Source organism: Homo sapiens, chromosome 7 (genome assembly GCF_000001405.40).
Source record: "Homo sapiens chromosome 7, GRCh38.p14 Primary Assembly".
In the NCBI taxonomy this organism is placed as follows: Eukaryota; Metazoa; Chordata; class Mammalia; order Primates; family Hominidae; genus Homo; species Homo sapiens.
The window spans coordinates 116295860-116322342 of NC_000007.14; the positions used below are offsets into that span (position 1 = coordinate 116295860).

Below are 26483 nucleotides of genomic sequence, written 5' to 3' on the forward strand. Positions count from 1 at the left end.
ATACCAACCCTATTGAAACTATTCCAATAAATAGAGGAGGAGGAGATACTTCCAAACTCTTTCTACAAGGCCAGTATTAGTCTATTTTCATACTGCTATAAGAAATACTGAAGATTGGGTAATTTATAAAGAAAAAGAGGTTTAAAGAACTCACAGTTCCACATGACTGGGGAGGCCTCACAATCATGGCAGAAGGCAAAGGAGGAGCAAAGTCATGTCTTACATGGCAGCAGGCAAGAGAGTGTGTGCAGGGAACCTGCCCTTTATAAAACCATCAGGTCTCATGAGATTTATTCACTATGATGAGAATAGCACAGTAAAAACCTGCCCCCATGATTCAATTACCTCCCACTCAGTCCTTCCCACAACAAGTTGGGATAATGGGAGCTACAATTCAAGATGAGATTTGGGTGGGGACACAGCCAAACTATATCAATTGCACTCATACCAAAACTAGGTAAAGACATACCAAGACAAACAACAACAAAAAAACTACATGCCAATATCCTTGATGAACATTGATGTGAAAATCCTCAGTAAAATACTAGCATACCAAATTCAATAACACATTTAAAAAATCATTTTTTATGACCAAGTGGGATTTATCCCTGGGATGCAAGTATGGTTCAACATACACAAATCCATCAATGTGATACATCATCTCAACAGAATGAAGGACAAAAAATCATATGATCATTTTAACTGATGCACAAAAAGCATTTGATAAAATTCAACATCCCTTCATGATTTAAAAAAACTCTCAAAAAAGTGGTTATAGAAGGAACATATGTCAACCCAACAAAAGCCATATGCACAATATCCGCAGCTAGTCTTATACTGAATGGGGAAATACTGAAAGCCTTTCCTCTAAGATCTGCAACACAAAGATGCCCACTTTCACCACTGTTATTCAGCATAGTACTGGAAGTCCTAGCTAGAACAATTAGAGAAGACAAAGAAATAAAGAGTGTTTACATTGAAAAGGAAGAAGTCAAATTATCCTTATTTGCAGATGATATGATCTTATATTTGGAAAAAGAAATGAAAGACTCCACAAGAAAACTATTGGAACTGATAAACAAATTCATTAAAGTTGCAAGATACAAAAACAACATACAAAAATCAGTAACATTTCTAGATGCTAACACTGACCAATCTGAAAAAGAAATCAAGAAAGCAATCCCACTTACAGTAACCACAAATAAAATTAAATACCTAGGAATTAACCAAAGAACTGAAAGATTTCTATATTGAAAACTATAAAACATTGATGCAAGAAATTGAAGAGGACACAAAAAATGTGAAGATGTTTCATGTTCATGGATTGGAAGAATCAGTATTGCCAAAATGTCCACACTACCCAAAACGATCTAAAGATTCAGTGCAATCTCTATCAAAATACCAATGGCATTCTTCACAGAGATAGAATAAACAATCCCAAAATTTATATAAAACCACAAAAGACCCAGAATAGCCATAGCTATCCTAAGCAAAAAGAACAAAATTGGAGGAATCATATTACCTGATTTCAAATTATACTACAGAGCTACAGTAACCAAAACAGCATGATACTGGCATAAAAACAGACACATAGATCAATGGAAAAGAATAGAGAACTTACAGATAAATACATGTATGTTCAGTGAACTCATTTTCAACAAAGGTGCCAAGAACATGAATTGGAGAAAAGACAGTCTGTTCAATGTATGTGCTGGGAAACCTGGATATCCATATGCAGAAGAATGATACTGAACCCTAAATCTAAGATTTCAAAATGTGAAATTACTAGAAGAAAACATTGAGAAAACTCTCCAGAACATTGGTCTGGGTAATGATTTCTTAAGTAATATTCCACAAGCACAGGCAATCAAAGCAAAAATGGACAAATGGTATCACATCAAGGTAAAAAGCTTCTGCACAGCAAAGGAAACAATCAACAAAGTGAAGAGAGAATCCACAGAATGGGAGAAAATATTTGCAAACTATCCCTCTGACAAGGGATTAATAAACAGAACAGATAAGGAGCTCAAACAACTCTATGGGAAAAATAGAATAATTTAGTTAAAAAGTAGTCAAAATATCTCGGTAGACATTTCTCAAAAGAAGACATACAAATGGCAAACAGGTATATGAAAATGTGCTCAACACCACTGATTATCAGAGAGATGAAAATCAAAACTACTGTGAGATATCATCTCACCTCAATTATAATGGTTTTCATTCAAAGACAGGCAATAATGGATGCTGGTGAGGATATGCAGAAAGGGGAATGCTTGCACCCTGTTGGTGGGAATGTAAATTAGTAAAAGCACTATGGAGAACAATTTAGAGGTGCCTCAGAAACTAAAAATAGAACTGCCATATGATCCAGCTGATATGGTTTGGCTGTGTTCCCATCCAAATCTCATCTTGAATTGTAGCTCCCATAATTCCCTTGTGTTGTGGAAGGGACCAGTGGGAGATAATTGAATCATGGGGGTGGTTTCCCCTACACTGTTCTTGTGGCAGTAAATAAGTCTCACAAGATCTGATGGTTTTATAAGGAGAAACCCTTTTTCTTGGCTCTCATTCGCTTCTCTTGTCTGCTGCCATGTGAGACTGCTTTTTGCCTTCTGCCATGATTGTGAGGCCTCCCCAGCCACGTGAAACCGTGAGTTCATTAAACCTCTTTTTCTTTTGCAAGTTGCCCAGTCTCGAGTATGTCTATATTAGCAGTGTGAAAACGGACTAATAGACAAGTAATCCCATTTCTAGGTATATACCCAAAAGAAAGCAAGTTAGTATATAGAAGAGATATCTACACCCTCATGTTAATTGCAGCACTATTCACAATGGCCAAGATTTGGAAGCAACCTAAGTGTCCATCAACAGATGAATGGATAAAGAAAAGGTTGTACTTATACATAGTGGAGTACTATTCAGCCATCAAAAAGAATGAGCTCCTGTCATTTGCAACAATATGGATGGATCTGGAAGACATTATGTTAAGTGAAATAAGCCAGGCACGGAAAGACAGCCTTCACATGTTCTCCCTTATTTGTGGTAGCTAAAAATTAAAACCATTGAACTCATGGAGATGGAGAGTAGAATGACGGTTACTTGAGTCTGGGAAGGGTAGTGATAGGGCTGGAGGGAAGTGGGGATGGTTAATGACCATAAAAATATAGTAGATAAAATGAATAAGAGCTAGTATCTGATGGCACAATGGGGTGACTACCATCAGCAATAATTTGTTGTACATTTCAAAATAACCAAAGAGTATAATTGAATTGTTTATAATACAAAGAATGATAAATGTTTGAAGTGATGATTACTGCATTTACCCTGATGTGATTATTACACAATGTATGCCTGTATCAAAATATCTCATGTACCCCGTAAATATATGCACCGACTTTATACCTACAATATTTTTCTAATGTACCCTATTCTAAAAAAAATACTATGCAAAGCAAAAATGTAAAACAAAAATGAAGGACAGCCAGTATTTCTACCTGTATCCTGTCTCTATTTTAAATAAAACCACAAGAAAAAAGATATAACCACAGGAAATCAATCAATATTCACATAACTTATTATTAGTTGAAGTCTCTACCAGGAAGTATTGCAAACATTTCCATGATAAATTTTGTCATGTTTCTCATGGCTCATAAATTTCCCTTTCTATTTAAAAATTCCACCGTTTCATATACATTTAAGTATAAAGTAAGCCAATTATAGTGAAGTTATAAATCTATTGTACTAGCTATAGATACAGAAATATGCACTAGGTTCACCAAGTCATGAACGGGAAATGTCTAATAAAATAATTCAAAATAGTGACATATCTCCTGCTAGTTTCTTCTAACTTTCAGCTCAGTCTTGTCTGAAACAGTATTCACATATAAATAGGCTAATGGATGCTTCATTACACTATTCCCTAAAGTGCCTAAGTCTCAAATCTGATTCCTAGTTGGAAAACAAAGCAAATCCTCAAGAGAGGCAAGGCCTACTGACTCAATATTTATTCATGATTCCTACTTTTATCTGATTTCCAGTTATTGAATACAAATGTACTCTCAGCTTCTGTATTTCTTATATATATTATTCTCCTTTTTATATTTTAGGATAATGCTTATATTGTTTTTATTGTTTTTGTTTAATAATAAAATTTTAATGTATTCAGTATATCTTTAGTTACAACTTTAACACCATTCCATAGACCTTTATAGGTAGTGATTTTATTAATATTCTTTTCTGGGTAATTGCTAATTTTTATTTCCTGTTTGTCCCTACTGTTACTGAGAATAATCATTTTCAGTGTTTGAGTGATTCATCTTTTCTAATATTTCTTTATAATGACTTTGTATGTTTTCTGCATTGTTGTCAGAGATTGCAGCCCTTACAGTGTCTTATAAGTTTGACAGATGCAATATTTGTTCTCTGTCCATAGGGCACAAAGTCTGATTTAGTTTTTTAAACTAACATAATCATCTTATTCATATCCCATATATTATTACATAATATCACTTAAAGTCTCAATTTCAGTTGAGTCCTAAATACCTTTCTTAAGGCTAAGAGCAATGGCTTAGGTGCCAAGCATCATCCTTAAATGGCAATTCGAGGGGCTGGATGGCCTAGATGATAAATATGAGGAGAATATAAAGCCAGTTCTTCCAACATCAGCAGGTCACTCTGGATTGGATTTGCTGCAAATTAATGAAGATTAATCTTCAGGGCCTCTTCTCTTGCACAGGGCCCTTTCTAGACAATAAATAATGTTAATTAAAAGAGTATTTAATATTACTGAACCAGAAAACTTGAAACATCCTGAGATTTTATAACTCAAATATGAAAAAAACTTAATAGTAATTTTTGCATGTTACAATAATTTGTAAGAATAAGAATCCCAAAAATTTATATGGCAGTTCCAATAGAGATGTATAAAGGTAGAAACAACTTCTAAACTAATAAAAAATGTAATAAACCATGCCAGAGCAAAAATTGAAATACCTTCCTATTACGTGTATTGAAAAATCACATTTCTTGCACATGTACCTCTGAACCTAAAACAAAAGTTGAAGAAAATCATATTTCTAAATCACTGGAATATGAAGAGGAGATCAATGAATAGACGGCCAAAAGTTATATGGCTTTAGAGGTATGTCAGGCAGTTAATAAAAATATATATTTTTTATTTTGTGAGATTTATAGTATTTGTGAGATTTTCAAAATTTGTAACTAGTTCTGATTTCTTTTTATCTTTTATTTTTTTGAGATGAGTCTTGCTCTGTCACCCAGGCTGGAGTGCAGTGGCTTAATCTCGGCTCACCGCAACCTCCACCTCCCGATTTCAAGCAATTATCTGCCTCAGCCTCCCAAGTGGCTGGGATTACAGGTGCCCACCACCACACCCGGCTAGGCTAATTTTTTTGTATTTTTAGTAGAGATGGGGTTTCACCATCTTGGCCAGGATGGTCTTGAACTCCTGACCTCATGATCCACCCACCTCGGCCTCCCAAAGTGCTGGGATTAGAGGTGTGAACCACCACGCCCAGCCTCTTTTTATCTTCTAAATAAGAATTCACATTCATTCTTAATTTTTATTTGTTACTTTGGATTTTTTTTAAGGCTTCTCCAAAACTGTATCAGCCTCATGCCCCTCAAAAGATAGGCAATTCCCTAGTGGTCACGTACTTTCAATGGCAAAAGATGATGTGTGGAAGAGTTGAAAAAGAAGATGCATTTGTATCCCCTCACCTCAAGCCAAATGACTACAAGTTTCATGGACACAGAAGCTGAGGAAACTGTTAAATCACTGTGTGTCCCCACCTCCCTTTATTTACTGCCAACTATGAGGAAGGGTTTCTCCATCACCTCAGCCAGGTGAGAAGGGCTATGAGAGAATCATAGCAAGACATCAGCATGTCCCCTGGAGAAATTGGTGCCTGACACTTCCTTCAAGATTTCTAAAGACTGGAGTTGTCTCTTTTTAGAAGTAAAGGGAAATCAGAGTGCTTGGGCACAAACTGCTCTTCCACGGAATAGGGCAAGGATGCCTGAGTTTCTCAAGAGTCAAGTTGTTCCCAGAAAGGGGACATACTTGGGAAATTTTAAGATTCCCCACTCAAGGGAACTACCTGGAGAGGCAAAAAGACCCCACAAGAGAGAAGCTGTATTGGGTGACCCCACCTCCTGCCTGGTTTCTGAGGAAGGAGAGAAAGTTTTCATTTAAATGAAATTTGGAGTTCTGATTATTGCATTGGACTGGATGTTTTAATTATTGAATTGTGATTGCTCTTGTGGCTCTGTGACCTGCCTGAGATATCATTCAACACTGAGGAAAGATCTAACTGAGTTTGAAGGGAGTAAGAGAAAAGAATAAAGTTGCTTTATAGTGTGTACCCTAATGAGCCCTAATTATTCAAGAACAGTTACACTCCATTTACCTTTCACCTTCATAATTTACCAGAGACTTAGATATTTATGTTAAAGCCTCCCTATTGTTTTTCTTCAGAGCTTCTTTTCTATTTTAACGAATATTTTTAAAAATTATTTTAAGGCTACATTACATAGTACATAAAGGCTTATTATGTTTTAACCTCAACAAACATATAGACATAAATAGTGTCTACTTCTTTCTTTTTCTTTAGCATTGACCTAACTAAATTCAGCTTTGAGAGAAGAAGATGTAGTCTGAGTAATTTCTGTGGTTTGGAATTGTTTTAATTTTTTGTTGTCTTAAAAAATGATTTTAGACAAAAGTGATTCATGGCATTTGAAAGAAATATATATTCACTGTTTAAAGAAGGCAAGTTTTTCTATATCTACATCTATATTATGCATATCTACAGCCAGATATAAAGCAAAATTATTTTTTCTCAAAAAAATCAATCAGAAAAAAGAAAGTACCTTCCTTATATTTGAAACCCATAGCAAGTTCCAAGAGGAGAAAAGGACAGAGTATAAAATTCTTCATTATGCTGAGCAGTGGACCTGATTTTCTCCAGGTCTTTAAGCCTATTTATGTATCCAAAAAAGGATGGAGATGACAGAGTTCCTCAATGTGATGACTCTATATGCTCTCCCCAGAGCTCTTGCAACATGACAGAACTTTGCTAAGCCCATATTAGACTAGGAATGTGATCAACAAGGCAAAGATTTCGGGGAGAGGTCAAAAATTATTTCGGATATACTGGAGAACCAGAGTGGGGAGAAAACAGAATGGCACTCCCAAGCTGGCCAAATTTATGCAAGCTAAAAATGCTTATTATCCTTCCGGCCAGCAGTTCCATTTATTAAGGTCTATCTTTAAAAAAAACATTGTACATCTACATAAAAAACCATGAACAAGAATTTTCAGGGAGCATTATTTTAAGAGCAAAAAAAAGGCAATCATCTAAATGCTCACCAACAGAAAGCTAACTAAATTATGCTACACCCATACCATGAAATACTGTAAGTAAAATTTATATACTGACATGTGAGATGCATAAGACCCTACAAAAATGTTTAAATGAGGTTGCAAAAATGTATAAAGTCTGATCACATTTGTGAAAATATGTTTGTGTATGGTTTTGAACAAATGCCTAGGAAAGGTTTTGGAGGGATGTAAAACAAAGCTCTTCATGCTATACTTTTGGGAGGCAAATGGGGCTAGGGAGAGTGTGCTGAAGCGATGCTGAAGATAAACTTCTCAACTGATTAAACTTTACAATGAGAATATGTTCATGTATTAATTACATAAAAGATTATAATAGGAATATGGAAATCATCCCTTTACAACTTGGAAGTTTGGATTTTTGTAACCCACAGAGCAAGCAAATGAAGCTGAATTCAATATGGATTATAAAGCTTTAGAATTTTGCATTTCCATTTTATCATATAATACTAAAAAAATTGACTTTCATTGCCACTAAAAATTTTATAGTAAAAAAGTTCTTACCCATTGACAAAGGTGCTAGATTATAAATGCTACTAATAAATAAAGAAATCATTGGGTCGACATCCATAAATCGTAAGCATTTATTAAATATAGGATACATTTCTGGTACTATATTACACACAAATATCACAAAGCATCTTGGAACTCAAGAAGGTAGAATGTAGTTACATTGTATCTGGTCTAATCAAAGAGATTCTAACAAATTACCAGATATGTTTACTTTCAATATTATCATAGTTGACTGCTTGAATAAATGACAGTTAACTTCTGTTGTATTTGCCAGTCTGTATATCCATAATAAAATACAAAATGCTAATAAAAATATTACATTGAATAGATAATATTGTCACTATTTCAAAACATGAGGAGCTGACAGTAAAAGACTTTGCTTACGGCCACTAGGCAAATAAATGTCAGAATCAGAATGTAATTCTGTTTCTAATGGGGCTACATATTTTATATCTTTCCATTCTTTCAAAATACCTCCTCCCTACCCATGTGGCAATTTAGAAAGGATTGCAAGAAAATACAATGGAGTGCTCCTCTCCACTTTATTTTTTTAAGTTTTAGAGCTGAAATAGTTAAGTTTCAAGAACTGTTAAATTTTCTAGCCCAGAGCATTGCATTGCTCATAAATATTAGAAATCAATTACTGTAAAATGGCCTATTACATGTATTTTAATTCATTTTTAAAAACAATTCAGATTTAGTCTTTTCTGGCCTTTTCCTGTTTTTAAGAAGTCTTGCAGAAAAAAATGTATTATTTATACTTTCTGAAATTTTTCCAGCTTAAGGTTTAACAAGTATTATTTGAAAGAGGCCAATACTCCTGAGTAGTTCAGATATTTGAGCTTTAACATTAATTATGCCCTTTAGTTGGATTGCTTCTATTTTAGGTTATAGTTGAAGTCGTAGACAATGGTATTGTTGATGGGGGCATAGGGTTGTTGGTTAGAGGAATAAGAAAAGGTAAAATGATTGAAAAACCGGTAATTTCAGAGCATAGACACTGTGAAAGAGCTGATACAGATGTCTGTCATCAGCCATAGGAGGCTGGGGGTCAGGAAGTATCAGGAAACAGGAAAGATGTAAAGAAATGACAGTGAAAGTGAACTTGATTATAAAAATAATATTGATAACACCATTATTAGAAATGTCACTACCAATAATGATTGGCATTTATAGTGTGCTTTACCAAGTGCCAGGCACTGATAAGCACTTTACATATGTTATTTCACTTAATCCTTACAGAAACCTTACAATATATTTTTATGCCCATTCTATAGATGAAGAAATGGTGGCTTAGAGATGTTGAGCAACTTGACCAGTTTACACATTAGTAAGTACTCTGATCCATCCAGAATAATTTTTAATATTTCTAGGAGGATCAGATCTCATATACAATGTGGAAATTCTCCAAGTTAATTCCATGAAATGTGGATTTATTTTGTGCTCAGAAATATAAGTAGAAACCTATAGCTAGATTTCCATTCCATGGCCGAAATTTTATTTTCTTCCAAGTGCCCTTCAAGAGGACTTAGAGCACAAAGGAAAAAATGATCTGTGAAAGTCAAGGAAAAGCTGACAATTGAAACCATGATTCCTAATCTAATGCCTTTCCATTGCTTTGCATTTCATATGAACATCTCTCTGTGTGTCTCTCTCTTCTCTCTGTCTCTCTCTCTCTCTCTCTCCCTTTCTCTCTCTTCTCCCTACACCCCTTCCTCTTATTTTTCCTTGCTTTGAAGATTAAGATTCTCCATCTCAGTCCCTCTGCTTCCCTCACTATTTTAGTTTTCATGTGGTTTGGGCCCACTATGGCTTTGATTTCAGCTTGGACTCTACATGACCTCATTGTGAGCTCATCACTGTTACCTGACATAGGTGTGTCAATGTCAAATTCCCAAGATCCTGCATTCCGATGAACCTGAATTGCATCACTTTTCCACTTCTGGTGCAATTGGTTGTTGTCATGGCCCCTATAATAATGGAGCTGCCTCCTTTGAGGGCTTGTAATTGGGATGTTTTTGCTAAGAAAAGAGCATGAACGGGGAAGAAATAATTTGTATTTTTAGAACAATAGCATTGAAGCAGTAGGTGGAGAAGCCAAACTTCTGAAAGGAGAGGAGCCTTTCAGTTAGGAAATAACCTGTGAGAACAGCCAGAATAGCAAAGGCTCTTCTCATCTTACGCTGTCTCATCTTTTTTTGTCTTCTGCTTTTTCTTTGCTTCATTTAATTACTAAAACTTTTATTTTTAACCTTCTCATTATTAAGGAATTTGTCAAGAGAAAGTAGATCTTTGTTTAATATCACTAGACTATGGGTAACTAAAAGGGAAGGACTCTTGTTATTTAACTCTGCGTCCTTAGCAACCAGCAAAGGGTCTGGGTTCTTGCACTTGTTTAATAAATATTTGCCGAAAGACTCAGACCTGGAGCAGACCACCCCAGGGAGGCAGATGTTGTGTTAGTAGAAGCAGACCATGATCAAGGGCAGAGGTGATTGGGCAATCAGGGCAGGCAGTGAAAGAGAATTTCAGAAGCTTACAAATCAACTGTAAATATGATGTTAGTATTTCTGAGCACATAATAGCCAGATGAAACTGGGAATAGACAGACTACTGTGCTTGGGGTGAAGCGTAAGCACTTAATAGAACAAAATTGTTCATTCCAGTACTACCAGCAATAGCTCAAAACTCAAAGGGCTTTGTGGTGCTTTAAACCTTTCTTTAAAACTCTGCAACTATGACTGATAGTAACACAGTATACCCTTTTCATTCAGGCAATTGGCTCACACCTTCGTCCTATCTTACTCCCACCACTGAGCATCTAAGAAGCCTCCTTGTGAGTGGGTAGCTATAGGCTTTTGTCCTGACACTCTTGCCAAGTTACCAAACAATAGTATACTAAAGAGATAGATAGCATGGGCCAAACAGAGATAAATGATGTTTTTCACCAAGTTTCCTGAACCCATTAAAAATGTGGTGTATGTATCACATTATATAATATGTACATAATAATATATAATAATATTCCATTATATAATGAAATATTATATATACTATATTTAATGGAATATTGTTAAATATATAATGGAATGTTATTATATATATAAAATATTCCATTTTATTCATATAAAATATATGATTTCATTCTTTTCATGGCTGAATATAATATGCCATTATATTCAGCCATGAAAAGAATGAAATCATATATTTTGCAGCAACATGGATGAAACTGGAAGTCACTGTCTTAAGTGAAGCAAGCCCAGCACAGAAAGTTAGATATTGCATCCTCTCACTCATAGGTGGATGCTAAGAAATGTGTCACATGGATGTAGAGAGTGGAATTATAGACAATGGAGACTTAGAAGGGTGATGGGGTGGGAGGAGGGTGGATGATGAGAAGTTAGTTAATGGGTATAACGTACATTATTTGGGTGATGGATACCCTAAAAACCCTGACTTGACCACTACATGATCTATGCATATAAAAAATTACACAAGTACCCAATACTTTTGTACAAATATTTTATAAAAAGCTTTGCCTCCAATCCATAGCAATCCCCTTTGATTTGTGGAAGAGTCAAAATGAATGGTAAAGATAGATTTTCTTTTCATAATCTTTTACTTGGTAACTAATCTCACTGAAAATGCATGAAAAGGAAGTGGGCTAGGGAAGCAAGGGGAACCATGACTAAATCATTCTGTTTCAGTCTCTGCATATTTTACTTTAACATAAATTAATCTAATAGTCTCCTTCTTTCAAGAACTACCATTTCTCTCCATCAGTATACTGACAAAAAATTGTCCTCCATAAAAATATGGGAAATGAGTATAAGTTTTAAGAAGTCTGATGTTCACAAGTATTTAATCATAAAATTTAATTTGCAAAAAAGGTGACTAACTTTCTGAATGTCCCTTTGGAGATTTTGATTAATGTCTTACTATGGAGGGCACAGCCTTTGAAATACCTTGTGATCTTGCATTACATGGGGTCAGGTGAGACTTCAATTTATCAGAGAGCCAAATTTCACTCTGACAATGAAAGTGACTCCTTGGGCACCTCATACTTTTCCTTTAAAAAGCCTCTGCTTTTTCTAAATTACATATTTAGCTCCTGTGTTACTCTTATCTCTTTTAATGCAGGGCTTGGCTCTAATGCAACTATCACAGGTGGACCAGGACCTGCTCTTGCCTGGCAAGAGCCTGTGGAACTTCAAATTCACACTTCAGGAAAATTTCATTTTCCCTCATATTAATTGTGATGTCAGACTCAAAATATTTCCTAGCTCCAAGTGAAATGTTTTCTTTTCCCCCCACATTCCCTCTCCCTAGTCCAGTATTATGGAACTAAAACTACAAATGCTGCTAAATCTCTTAAAATATGAGACATTGACATGGAGTATCTGCTGACATAGTTGGGTGATGTTTAAACAAATAATATAGCAATCTTCACTGAACTTCTCCTACCTGTAAAGCAATATGTGTTATAGGGGATACAGAGATATTTAGGGCCTAGCTGCATTTATAGTGTAATGGGATGATATATGTATAAGAACTTCTAGCATATAGTGTAAGGCAAGGCAAGATATGTGCCAAATCAATGTCATGATCAGCAAATTCTAATAGATGAACAAAATGTACAAATCCCTACAGGTAGAGTTTTGGAGATAGGTTCTGGTTTGAGTAAAGAAAGATGGGCAGGGTAGTTGGAATGGAGTTGGTAAGGGCATGAATAAGTTTACAGGTACAATGAATCAACACATTGGTTGGTGGAGCACGTGCTGGAGAAAAGTTTGGGACATTAGTCTGGAAATTTGATACTGACGCCAGTCTGTGGAAGGCAAACTGAGGATTGCAAAATAAGTTTCATGGTGATATAATACTACTGAAAATTTTTGAGCAGTTATGTGATATAGTGAATACATTAAGCTTTAGGAAGAGTATTATGGCACCTGTGTGAACCCTTCAACTAGTATATATGCTGTATGATGAAGGGACTGTCAGTCATGCTTCTCATGATATTCTATGACACATGGTACATGTCTAGTAAAATATATGTTGAGTAACTGAAAAAAAGAAGAAAATGCCCGGAGGAAGTGAATCAATAAATCTTGTAGTTTTCTTGGACCAGAGGAAATAAGCTTATGTTCCAGAACAATGGCTCCCAAATGGAGGTGATTTAGCCTCCCAAGAGACATTTAGCAACACTTGTAGACATTTTTTTTCACAACTCAGGGGATGTTACTGGTATCTGGAAGGTAAAAGGCAAGGATGATGCTAACTGTTCTACAAAACACAAAACAGCCTCTCAAGACAAAGAATTATCCATCCCCAAGTGTACATAGTGCCAAGGTTGAGTGGACCAGATCTAGAAGGAAGGCAGTCAAAAGAGAAAAAATAGAGATAAGACAAAGGATAGCTGTAAGAACTTGGTGACTGCTTTCATACAGAGGAGCAAAGGAGAACAAAGGCCAAAGATTACATGGGAATTCTCTTCTGGGTCACTCTGGAATCGTGACACTACAGGCAAAACTGGAGCCCAGAAAAGAGGCCAAATTGTTCATGTCTGTGTGTTGGTGAGTTTGGTTTAGATTTGCAGAATTTATGAAAAAGGTAAAATCTACTAATATAATTGTCTATTGGATGCTGGGGATGCTGGACTAGAAGTTAGGGGAAAAGTTAGGACTAATGTTCTAACTATGGTGGCTGACAAAGCTGATATGAGTCTTACCTTCATGGGGAGTTCAGTGGAGGAGGTGGGCATTAAATGGATAGTCTCTAGTATATCAGTATAATTGGAAATTGTAAGTTCTGTAAAAGAAATGTATAGTTTCTATGTGAAAGCATAACAGGCATCATCAGGACATATCTGTGGACTGGGAAATGCCTCTCTTAGCAAATGACATTTATACTGAACAATGAGTATGACTGCCACCAGGCAAAGAACAGGGAGAAAATATTGAAAGCGGTTGAAATGGCATGGGTGAAGGCTATGAGGCAGACAAAAATAGGTGGGTTTAACGAACAGAAGGAAGTGAATGAGCTGCAGAGAGAAAAGGGTGGGAAGTACAAGAGGTTGAAGAAATAGGCAGGGGATGAGCCCAGGGTTCATGCTAAAACTTCTGAATATAATCCAGTTGTAATAGGAAATGATTGAAAATTTTAAGCAGAGAACTGAGAAAATCCATTTTACATTTTTAAAAGAATGTATTTTATATTTTTACAATTTTAAAATTGGTTATTATTCATATATGGAGAATAAATTGGAGGATCCAAGAGTAGAAATAGGGAGATAAAGAGTTGGCTATTGCAGTTGGCAAGGCAAGAGATAACGGCAGCTTGGACTAAAGTGATAAATTGTTGGAAGAGAAATTTGAGAAAAGTCACATTATTCAAGTGACATTCTTGAAGCAGAATTCTTGGGGAGGTGATGGATTGGATAAGAAGAATAACAGAAAGGGGAGTATTCAGGTTGATAGCTCTATTAGTCTCCTGAGGCTGCTGTAACAAATGACCACAAACTGGGTGGCTTACAACAACTGAAATTTATCTTCTCACAGTTCCAAAGGGCAGAAATCCGAACTCCAGGTGTCAACAGGGCCACACTTCCACTGAAGGCTCTAGGAGGGAATTCTTCCTTGCTTCTTTCAGCTTCTAGTGGCTCCAGGCGTTCGTTGGCTTGTGGCTGGAAAACACCAATTTTCTCCTCTGTCTACACATAGTCTTCTCCTCTTCTCTCACTTAAATCTTTTTCAGCTTTTCTCCCATAAAAACATTTGTCATTGGATTTAGGATCTACCTGAATAACCGGGATGATATAATCTTGAGATATTTAATTACATCTGAAAAGACCCTTTTTCCAAATAAAGTCACATTCATGGTTCAGGGATATGGACATATCTTTTAGGGGACATATCCCTATTCACTCCACTACAATGGCTATGTATCTGGCTTTAATAATTGCGTAGGATAAGATTGAAGAAGAAGCAAAGTTTAGGGGAAGGATCAAGAGTTCAGTTTAGATACATTATATTGAGATGCCTGTGAAATAGTAAAAAGAAGCCGGATGTGGTGGCTCACGCCTGTAATCCCAGCACTTTGGGAGGCCAAGGCAGGTGGATCACTTGAGGTCAGGCCAGCCTGGCCAATATGGTGAAACCCTTTCTCTATGAAAAATAAAACAATCAGTCCAGCATGGTGGCGCATGCCTGTAGTCCCAGCTACTCGGAAGGCTGAGGCAGGATAATGGCACTCCAGCCTGGGTGACAAAGCAAGACTCTGTCTCAAAACAAAACAAAACAAATACTAAGGAGAGATGTCAAGTAGACAGTTTAATAAATAGTTCAGAAGAGGTTGATGTTTGTTATTCAAAGCCTGGGATGAGTGAGATTGCTGAGGGCAATTGTTTAGTGAGAAAATAAACCACGATTGTTATTTGAAAATTCCAAGTTTGAGACATATAGTAGAAGATTCGGAGCTAGCAAAAGAGTTCAAAAATGAACTGCCAGAGATGTGGAAGTGAAAAGAAGAGACTGGAGTACTTGAATGGTGGTGAGTAAAGGTGAACAATCAGGTTTATGCAAAGTTTCATCAGGTACGTATGTAAGGAAAGAAAATTGAGAGTATTTTAAGAAAAGAGGGGTTATTCCTAAAGAGGGAAAATTTAGCATATTCAGCATATTCATATTCAGCAATTGTAATAGTGATTACAACTACCAATAGAAAGAGGCAAGATTAGATTCTTGACTATTGAACCCTGGTGTATATCTGTATTTTGATATCAAAATTAGTCATTAAAAAGGAGAAAGAGAAATCACAGGGGTGCAATAGCAATAACGTAGAACTCCTAAATTTAAGGGAAGTAAAGTTAACTTCTACATATACTGGTAAAATGTTAAAATTGGATTTCTAAGGAGAATGATGAAATAAATGTGAATAACATTAAAGTTAAGTGTGAAACTTGGAGCTGCTCTTCAAGTTAATTACATATCCTAAAAGTGGGTGTTTTATTATGAAAATATGTTCCAGACAAGAACTCCAGTAACTAGAGTATCATGATGGGCTGAACACTGGAACCTTGGGATTCTCTACTTCTCTGCTATGAACTTGCTGTGTGACTTTGGGTAATTCATTTCACTTTTCTGAGCCTGACTCAGTTTCTGCCCCCATAAATAGTTTTGAGCTACATAATCTCTGAAGTTCTCTTGAGTTCTAGATATGATGACTCAATGTCACTTTCAGGCCTTCTATTTGGCTGTATTTAGATGTATTTCTATGAGGCCCTTTCAAGTTCTAAGGCTCAGAGGCATAGGAATCTGTTAGCCTGACACACAGACTCAGGCTGGATGGTGAGCTTTGTTCTTTCCTCTGGCTATGGCCATAGGCACTGGAACAATGTCCATTGCCATGGTCATTCTCCCTTCTCATTGGAGCAAAGCCTCTTCCAAGTCACAAGCTAGGTTTTGAGTACTTTCTGGATTTTCGTTATTTCACAATCTTTATCTTGATCATCAGGAAGCTTCTTCTTTTAAATCCTCAAAACATGAAAGTTCTGATTAGACCATGTACATTTCCTGATGTACATCTACGCACTCACATGCTAATGGATGCTACCCTCTCAGTTCCCATGGATCTTGCACACGCCCTTTAGAGAATGGCTACTCTCTTCCATGACACAAAGATAACTTACCCAAAAGGGCAACTCCTTATAGTTCTCAAGGTGATCTAGTGCCTTTTGTTAGCATGCAGAATCAAAAACTATAATTTTCATCAGAGCATCTTGATTTAGAGAAGTTTTACCCGAGGGTTTAAGTTTGTTTAGGAGATCATGATTTCTCTTAAATTGTGGGTGTGTATGTGAAAATGTGCTTTCTTTAAAAAAGAGAACGATTTACTTTCATCAGATCCTCAAGTAAGTCACAGCCCATTAAATATTAAGAACCACTGTTATAGGTTTCCTCTAGCCAGGACACCAATTCTTACTTCAGCCAACCGTGGAAAAGTTAAGGGTGCTACATGACAGTAGGTATGGCTACTTAAGCTGAAGGAAAATCTGTGAGACAGTATGTGGCCTATTCAGTAAAATATTATATTTCATATGCCATAAGCATGGAAAGGAATAAGCTCTTACATATTTCTATTTCTAGAACATTAGTTCCTTTACGAGGTAACCATCTTAGGCAAGGTTGTTATTAGTTTCCAAGGAATCAGTGGAGAGGCTCATGACAAAGGGAAGAAGGGGCTGCTTCTGCTTACAGAGAAAATTATGTGGAATTTGGGATTTTCATATACTTTCATAATCTGACTCCTCCCATTTAACTGTTTATTTATTTATTTATTTATTTATTGAGATGGAGTCTCACTCTGTTGCCCAGGCTGGAGTGCAGTGGCACCATCTTGGCTCACTGCAACCTCCGCCTCCCAGGTTCAAGCGATTCTCCCGCCTCAACCTCCCACGTAGCTGGGATTACAGGCGCCCACCACCACGCCCGGCTAATGTTTGTATTTTTGTAGAGACAGGGTTTCACCATGTTGGCCAGGCTGGTCTCGAACTCCTGACCTCAGGTGATCTGCCCTTGGCCTCCCAAAGTGCTGGGATTACAGGAGTGAGCCACCGCCTCCAGCCTAAATGAACCACTTCTGAGACTGCAAAAATTGTCTCACTGTTTTTATGCGTTATGACACAGTATTTTTCAGAAGGACAATTATTAAAAGGCATGAAAAGACTATTTGAAAAGGTTAAAGAAATAGGTTTGTTTTAATAAGGAGAGAATGATAAACAGCCAATATGAATGTTTACATGTATGAGAGAATACAGGGAATTAAAGCAGATGTTTTTGTTTTCAACTGATATAAAAAATTAGGAGTTAGTCTTTCATTTTAAAATGGAGGCATATGTTTGACTTAGAGAAAGTGTTGACTGTAGAATGTTACTAAAGGAGTTTGTAGAATCTCCTTTTTCAGATATTTTTAAAGAATAGAAAATGGTATCGCTTGACTTGGGCAGATTCTTGCCTAATGTGTCCTTTCTAAAATACAACCACAGACATCAGTATCATTTATGGTAGAGAATGGGGAGGCTTACTCTCCGAATTCATGCAACAAACATTTATGGAGCCTCATGATGTACCAGGCACTAGGAATTAAACTTCCAATTCAATGTCCCCATGCAAACAGATCTTCAGATAGATAGGCAGATAGACAGTGGAAAGGGAATGTGGTAAATGCCATGTAGGGAAGGGGAAAGACTGGCCCAGTAATTATGACCACCTTTAACTGAGTCCAGGCACTGTCAGGCAGTGTCCAGGCACAGTGTCAAGCACTCCATGTACATTATTTTATTTAGTGCTCACAACAACCCTATGGAATATATACTATCATTTGCCAGCTATTATCCATGAAGAAACTAAGGTTAAGGAGAGATTAAATAACTTGCCCAAGATCACGCAGACAGCAAATTGCAGAGATTGTTTTGACTGTAGAGTTGAAGTTCTTAAACCCTGGGCCAGCCAGTCAGAATCTGAGAGGAGACAAGTAAGGTTGGTGAGGGGAATGGGAATTGAAAGGGATGAGGAAAGCCTTCTGAAGGAGAAGCCATTTCAATGGAGTTTTGAATGAGCAGGAGTTGGCCAGGTGTATTTTATCCGGGGGGCTGGTAGTGGAGGAGAAGACATGTTTGCCAGATAAAGCAGCTGTGGAAGGGACTGAATTTCAGTCACTTGTTATTTAGCTAAAGACATGGTCATTCTAAAGTCCCTACCGAGTTCTTGCACACTGATACCAGGGTTTTCAATGAGTAGTGCTCAGTTTATAAGAGTTAAGAAGTCACCATTTTTTTTTCTTAGTCCAAATGAAAATAGTGCTTCATCTGAGATCTGCGTATGAATGGCTCTGCCTGTCTTTGGTCAACCCATTTTCCACTCCCTTTACTTGTCCCTTCTTTCCCTCCGGCCTCTAACTCTCTTAGTCCTTCCTTCTTTTCTCTGAAATGAAGCTCTCTCCTACCCATAGAGAACACTTCCTCCTCTGGTTCACCAGGAAGTTTTTTTGGGCACAGCTTCATGGCCTCTCACAGTGATGGATCCTTATTTAAAGCCTGAAATCGATTTCCCCATGGCATCACAATATCTATGGCCATGCTTCCCTCTCAAACATGTGCATTTACTTTTTTTTGGAAGGAGAGAGGAGCAAAATTCATAATTCTTTTCTTCTTTCAGGCCTTTTAATAGTTCCAGTTCTTCTCTGGTCAATCAATCCCCATTTAGTGGAGGCTTAAGCTCCCTCCAGCCTGATTCTCTTTTATACGGCTGCCTTTCTGATGTCGTATATCGGTACAAACAAATAAACATAAAGAGGTTTGGTTTTTCTTTTTTCAGTTTGTTTCTTCTCAGGAAAATAAATTCTATTTAATTTTTCTGACTCCAATATACTCTTGCATGTCATAGAATCTTGTTTTATAATCAGCTATTGGAACTTTAGTAGGTCTACAAACAACCATTTCCTTTCCTAACTAAAATCAGAACCAATTGAAAAAGAGAAGAGGAGTCAGACCACTGCCTCACAGACAGTGGATTTTAAAATGTGGCTTTAGATCTGCAGTCGTCACTGGCCTCCAACACGTAACTCCTGAAAGAGACTGTCAGAGCAGTGATGCCAACGCAGACCCGGGGAATGACAGGACTTCCCCAGACAGTCCCCACCGGGCAGAGTCTGCCCGGTGAGCTCATTCCCTCTAAGGAGGAGTGAATCAGGACAGCTAGAGCTGGGACTGACATGTTGAAGCAAGTTTCTGCACACAGAAATAGGAGGCCAGGGTAAAGGAAAATCCTCCATGTTGAGATGTGGAAAGAAACCTGATTTTTGTTTGTCTCCCTTTATAACATTAATTCCCATTCCTTTCAGATTAGACTTTCATGTGTTATTTGTCGTTTACATAATGCTTTTGAATACAATTATTTAAACCTTTTTCTGTCTGTCTCACATTTCTCGGATGAGATATTCTCACTTTCCTCTTAAGGGTATTTTATTGTTCTTGTGTAACTACTGTCAAAAAATAAAAATTTCAACAAATTTAGTTTAATGATCTAAACTATTAGTGATTCATTAATCAGACGGTATCCCATCTATGAAACAGAAAAGCACGCTAGTAAGCTGAGGAGAGGCAGTGGGCTTTATAGGCAGAAAAGCCTGAAGAAAGCAGAAACAGGAACAGAAAGCCGATTGGTTGTTTCAAAGTTACTTTCTTTAAAAGGATAAAGCAGAGCCAGGGGACTTTCTTATTATGTCAGCTCAGGTTGACTGGGCCCCTTTTAATTGATTGCTGTGAATCTGTTTTTTGTTGTTGTTGTTTTGTGTTTTTTTGGGGGTTTTTTTGTTTGTTTTCTAACTGGCTGATTTTAAAGTCCAGTTTGGGGACCTAGCACTAGTGATTCCATTCTGGTTTGGTCTGTTCTTCTGGGCCTAGTGCAAGAGCTTAGTCCAAAACAATAGCCTCCCATAAATTTAACACTACTCTCAGTAAAAATAACCATTGGTATTTTTATAGCATGGCTTTTAATAATGCCTATATTCTCATATTTGCAAAGTGCATTTTCCTGAGCTGATTTTATCAGTGGCTTTACTTCCAAAATAATTTCCTTTTAGGACAATATCAGAACGGCACATACAAGTGTCCCCAAGTCATATTTGGAATAAGATCACTTGGGAACACAAGTCAAAGAAGGTATGTAACCAACTCACCTCATCTAATGGAACAGGTTTCCCTGGGCAAGCATAAGATTATTGTACATTGTTCAAAGATTTCAAGACAGATAGCGTAGATTTCAAGAATGCCAAACATAAGGCAGAGAGGAGTCTACTGGGATATTTTCCCGAATTGTGGCTTGTATCTCTCTCTGGTCTATTAGAAGACCTCCTGCATACCCCTAACAAGAGAAAAAATGACAGATGAAAGAAAGAGAGAGAGAGAGACTTTCTTGTAATTAATCTAATAGGCATTTTTAAAATTGAACACTTGGACTTCCTCCAACTGGCATCTTTAAAACACCCATTGATTAACAGGCAAATGGGATGAGTGAATTCATTATAAGAAGTGAATCCTTTGCGTCCACCAGATTCTTCTGCCTTCATTGTCATCAAAGTTCTTGGGCTCACTCACTGGCTATCATCCCTCTCACTCATCTCTAAAATGGTTTCAACATCCCCTCTGTGCGGTCCAGTTTCTCACCTAATTTGCATTAGGCTGATTCATTCATTCCTCAGCAGGGTTACTTGATGTGCTTTCTTCCCAGTGGCATCCATGTGTAAAGCTGTCTCTCACTGGCTCTTATCACAGTCAGATTCAAAATGCTCATTTCAGAAAGACTGCAAGTCTTAATAGAAGGTATAGAATTTAACAACATGAACACAGTGAAAGTTTAAGAATGGTTTCTGGAATACCTGAAATCTATTCTGCTTATATTAAAATGGCTTTCGGCAGAGGGTGAAAAACCCTGCCGGCAATCAGAGCATTCTGTGACATTCAAGTCTGCCCAGAGTCAGCAGCCAAGCAGCGTGCTCTCTGATCTACAGATTTGCATTGTTCACTAACCTTCCTGTGCCAAAAACACTCAGTTGCTCCCTTTCACCAGCCTCTAAGGTCACAAGACAGACAGTTCTTTCTTGATTACTCAAACAAATACACGTCTGATTCAGAGCGGGGAAAAAAGAGTTGCCAACAGTCAAGGCTTAGAAAGGCCAGGGCTGCTTGCACTTAGAAGCCAGCCTGATGAATCACCACATCCATGACTAATTGTGGGGTTCAAGTGTGCCCAGTTATAGAGCCTGTTTTTTAGAAAGGAAAATGCTAAAGAAGACACATAGAAATGTGGAAGAAAACTAGACACTTTTGTGTGACTACACAGATGGCCCGTGGTCATTAACAGGCTTGATACATACCTTTCTCTATATATATATAGTTTTTTTTTTTTTTTTTGACAGAGTTTCACTCTTATTGCCCAGGCTAGAGTGCAATGGTGCAATCTCAGCTCACCAAAACCTCCGCCTCCCGGGTTCAAGCAATTCTCCTGCCTCAGCCTCCTGAGTAGCTGAGATTACAGGCATGCGCCACCATGCCTGACTAATTTTGTATTTTTAGTAGAGATGGGGTTTCTTCATGTTGGTCAGGCTGGTCTTGAACTCCCAACCTCAGGTGATCCGCCAGCCTCGGCCTCCCAAAGTGCTGGGATTAGAGGTATAAGCCACTGCACCCAGCCCTCTCTCTATGTTCTTTCAATTAAGCCCCAGAAAATGTGGAAATGCCATTGCCCTCAACCTGGCTTTCCTCACAAGAGTAAACTTCATGGGCTTAAAAAAAATTCCAAACATTTTTTAAATCTCATAAGGTTAAGAAAGGGCAGTCGACTTCAATAAATTATGATGCTGATGATTTTTGTTTTAAAAAACTGGCAAAAACAGACTTTTACATATATATGACTATCATATATGACTTTTACATATACGTATATAGGTGAATTACTTATATACATATAAGTACATAAAGTATACAGTTACATGTATGTTAAAGTATGTATATACATATCTAATGTAAATATACATATATATGCACATATGAACCTATATCTTCATTGCATGCTTATGTAATAGATGCAGTGTGTAATATGTGTAAATCCATGTTTTATTTGTATAGATACCAAGGACATGATAATAAAAATGACATAGTTCTTGTCCTCAATTGTATAGTCTGTTGGGAAAGAAAACACACAAATAGAAAAAATTTTCATATAGAGAATTTTTAATATTCTCTATATGCTGCTATAAAATCAATAGTAGTCATGCACAGGGTGTTGTTGGCATAAGGGAGGAAACCTTGAAAAAGGGGTACATGTTAGGGAAAGCTTTGGGAAAGTGAGAGATGAGCTGATCTGAAAGGACTTGTAGTAGTGACTCTTGTTGAGTGGGAGGGAGGGGTAGGCAATGAATGGAGGAAATCCCAGGTAGAGGAAAAAGAGAGTACCAGAACAGCCCCACATTTATTTAAGAAATTGAAATTATAGCTAAAAACCTCCACACACAAAACTCCAGGCACCAAAGTTTTCATGGTTAAATTGTACCAAACCTTTAGTAAATAAATAAAACCAATTATACACAAACTCTTCCAGAAAATTTAAGACAAGGAAATACTTCCCACTTTATCTGGGAGGGCTGCCTTACCTTAACCCAAAATCTAGATGTTACAAGAAAAGATAACTACACAACATTAAATATCCCACATAAACATAGGTACGAAAAACCTTGAGAAAATTATAGCAAATGAAATTTAACAACATATAGAAAGAATAATACATCATGAATAAATGAGGTTTATTATGAGAGTGCAGGGCAAACATTTGGAAATAAATTGACGTAATTCACCATATAAAAAACAGACGAACATCTCAATAGGTGCAGAAAATATAATTGACAAAATTCTATATAGATTCATGATAGAATGAACAGCACTCAGTAATCTGGGAATAGATGGGAATTCCCTTAACTTGATAAAGGCATCCATTTAAAAAACAAATAACCAAAATACTATAGCTAGCATCAAACTGAATGGGAAATGACAATTCAGTGCAGAAACAATTGGTGTTGAAACAATTTGATATCCACATGTCCTATAGTTTGAATATGTCCCCTTCAAAATTCAGGTGTTAAAACTTAATGGCCAATGCAGTGACATTAAAAGGTGGGTCTTCTCAGAGGTTATTAGGTAATGAGAGCTCCTCCCATTACGAGTGGGATTAAGGCCCTCATAAAAGGAGCTTCACTCAACATTTGACCCTCTTGCCCTCTGCCTTCCACCATATAAGGACACAGTGTTCTGCCTCTCCTGAGTAAGCAGCAACAACGCACCATCTTGGAATCAGGGGACGGCCCTCACCAGACAACTAAATCTGCAGACACCTTGGACTTCCCAGCCTCCAGAACTGTAAGAAATAGATTTCTGTTCTTTACACATTATCCAGTCTTGGGTGTTCTATCATAGCAACACTAGTAAACTAAGACAATATGCAGAGAGAGAAAAAGAGAGAGAGGAAGGAAGGAGGGAGGGAAGGAGGAACAAAAGAAAGAGAGATCTTTAAAGCATACCTTACATACAAATACTAACTCAAAATGGATCAATACCTAAAAGTGAAATCTAAATTAAATTATTGTACCTTTTGAAAAAATAAGCCACAGAATGGGAGAAAATGCTTGCAAATCATTTATCTGATAAAGAACTTATAACAAAGATATATAAGGATGTCTCAAAACTCAATACTAAGAAAACAACAATGTAATACAAAAAGGACAAAATTTATTTTCGTTTGGTCACTTTTTAAAAATTTTACTTTAAGTTCTGGGATATATTTGCAGAATGTGCAGGTTTGTTACGTAGGTATACATGAGTTGACACTTCACCAAAGAAGATATTCATATAACAAATAATTACATGAAAAGACCCTTGAGTTCATTAGTTATGAAGCAAATGAAAAACCCTAATGACATACTACTACATGCCTATTACAATTACTAAAATCAAAAGAACTGACAATATTGATGATCACATAGAAAAAGCGAAACTTTCATACATTCCTAATGGAAATGCAAAATAGTATTGTCACTTTAGAAAAACAGTTTAGCAGCTTCTTAAAGAGTTAAGTATTTACCTACAATACAATCTAGCATTGCCACTTCAAAGATGAAAGTTTTATTTACATAAAAGCAGATATAGAAAAGTTTATACAGCTTTTCTATATATCTTCCAAAACTGGAACAACACAAATGTTCTTCAACAGGTGAATGGATAACCAAATTATGGTACATCCATACAATGGAATACTATTCAGGATTAAAAAGGAATGAACTACTGATAGACACAACATGGCCAAGTGCATTATACCAAGCAAAAAAAGCCAGATTTAAAAGACTACATACTGGCTGGGCATGGTGGCTCAAGCCTGTAATCCTAGCACTTTGGGAGGCTGAGGCAGGTGGATCACTTGAGGTCAAGAGTTCAAGACTGGCCTGGCCAACATGATGAAACCCCATCTCTACTAAAAATAGCTAATTAGCTGGGCCTGCTGGCGGGAACCAGTAATCCCAGTTACTCAGGAGGCTGAGGCAGGAGAATCGCTTAAACCTGGGAGGTAGAGGGTACTGTGAACCAAGATCGTGCCACTGCACTCTAGCCTGGGTGACAGAGTAAGACTCTGCCTCAAAAATAAATAAAATAAAATAAAAGATTGCATACTTTTACTTGATTCCAGTTGTATGACATTCTGAAAAAAAGCAAAACTATAGGGACACAAAACAGAACTATACCTTAGAACAGGTAAATTTATTTATGTAAAGTGTATCTTAATAAAGCATGAAGAAAAATTAAAATGTCATCCATAATAAGAAAATTATTTAACATACATGAATTACCACATCTTAAAACTAAATCATAAAATTTAATGTATTAAAATTTTAGCATTTTAATTTGTTGTAATATGGAAAGTTATCTAGATCAACCCTCTTGCTGAAACAAGCTAATAATCCTGAGTAAATATATATTCTTAAAAATAATTATTGAACTGACAGGGTCATAAAGCATTTTTAGCAGAAATCCAGAAGGTAAGTGGAATTCTGCAGCCAACTTTCATTTTTATGGCATTTGCTAATTAGGATGAATTTGATCTACAATATTTTAGCTTCATGTGGTGCAAAGAACAAAAGACAAAAAGTCCAAAGCAGTTTATAAGAGACAAGTTTGAAATCTAAATATTCAGAACATTTGGAAGTAAAATGATTCAATAAATCATATACATGAATCAAAATCTAAGTACTTGGCAGGTAGTAAACTATTAGCATCACTCTAAATAGATTTACTAACTAAAGCATTAGGAGATTAAACTGATCACTACACGATGCTAAAACATTTAATAACTCAAGAAGATATAACAGTTCTAAACCTGTATGTACCTATCAACATAGCCTTAAATATGTAAACCAAAAATTGAAAGACAGGAAAAATAAATGCAAATAATAGTGAGGATGTTAGTATATTCCTCTCATAGCTAAAGAAACAGCTGACAAAATAAAATTAACATGATACTGATGATTTTTAAAACATGATTCAATGAATAAGCGGACATATATAGAACACTATATCCACCCATGTAAATTACAAAAACTTTTGAAACATACAGAAAACATATTATAAAATTGGCCATATTCTGATCCAAAAGCAGCTCTCAACAAAGTTTAAAGAACTAAGCCATGCATATCACATTCTCTATGATGAAATTTAGTTAAAAATCAAAACAAAAAGATAACTAGAAAAAAACACAGTATGTTTAGAAGAAAACCACAACTAAATAACCCATGAGCCAAAGATAAAATCATAATATTACAAAATATTCAAAGCTGAATAATAATGAATATATTATACATAAAAACTCACAGGACATGGTTAAAATAGCATATGTCTCCATTTCAGTGGTATTAGAAAAAAACAAAAGCTCAGAATTCAAGCTAAGCAACCATC

The 26483-nt window shown here is 36.5% G+C and overlaps 1 long non-coding RNA gene across 5 annotated transcripts in view, besides 2 other annotated features; it reads left to right on the plus strand.

Annotated features, from left to right (window-relative positions):
- Positions 1-26483, plus strand: part of LOC105375463 (uncharacterized) — a 51730-nt gene that overhangs the window by 10381 nt on the left and 14866 nt on the right. For all 5 annotated transcript variants that reach the window (XR_001745336.2, XR_001745335.2, XR_001745329.2 and 2 more), the window contains 2 exons: positions 20573-20651; positions 23782-23900. This is a non-coding gene — a long non-coding RNA (uncharacterized LOC105375463). The remainder of the gene's footprint in view (positions 1-20572; positions 20652-23781; positions 23901-26483) is intronic.
- Positions 21280-21359: an enhancer, noted in NCBI's record as "active region_26530". NCBI's record gives its function as "activates an Ori minimal core promoter by ATAC-STARR-seq in GM12878 lymphoblastoid cells {active_cell/tissue: GM12878}" and the evidence as "EXISTENCE:reporter gene assay evidence [ECO:0000049][PMID:35858748]".
- Positions 21460-21609: an enhancer, noted in NCBI's record as "active region_26531". NCBI's record gives its function as "activates an Ori minimal core promoter by ATAC-STARR-seq in GM12878 lymphoblastoid cells {active_cell/tissue: GM12878}" and the evidence as "EXISTENCE:reporter gene assay evidence [ECO:0000049][PMID:35858748]".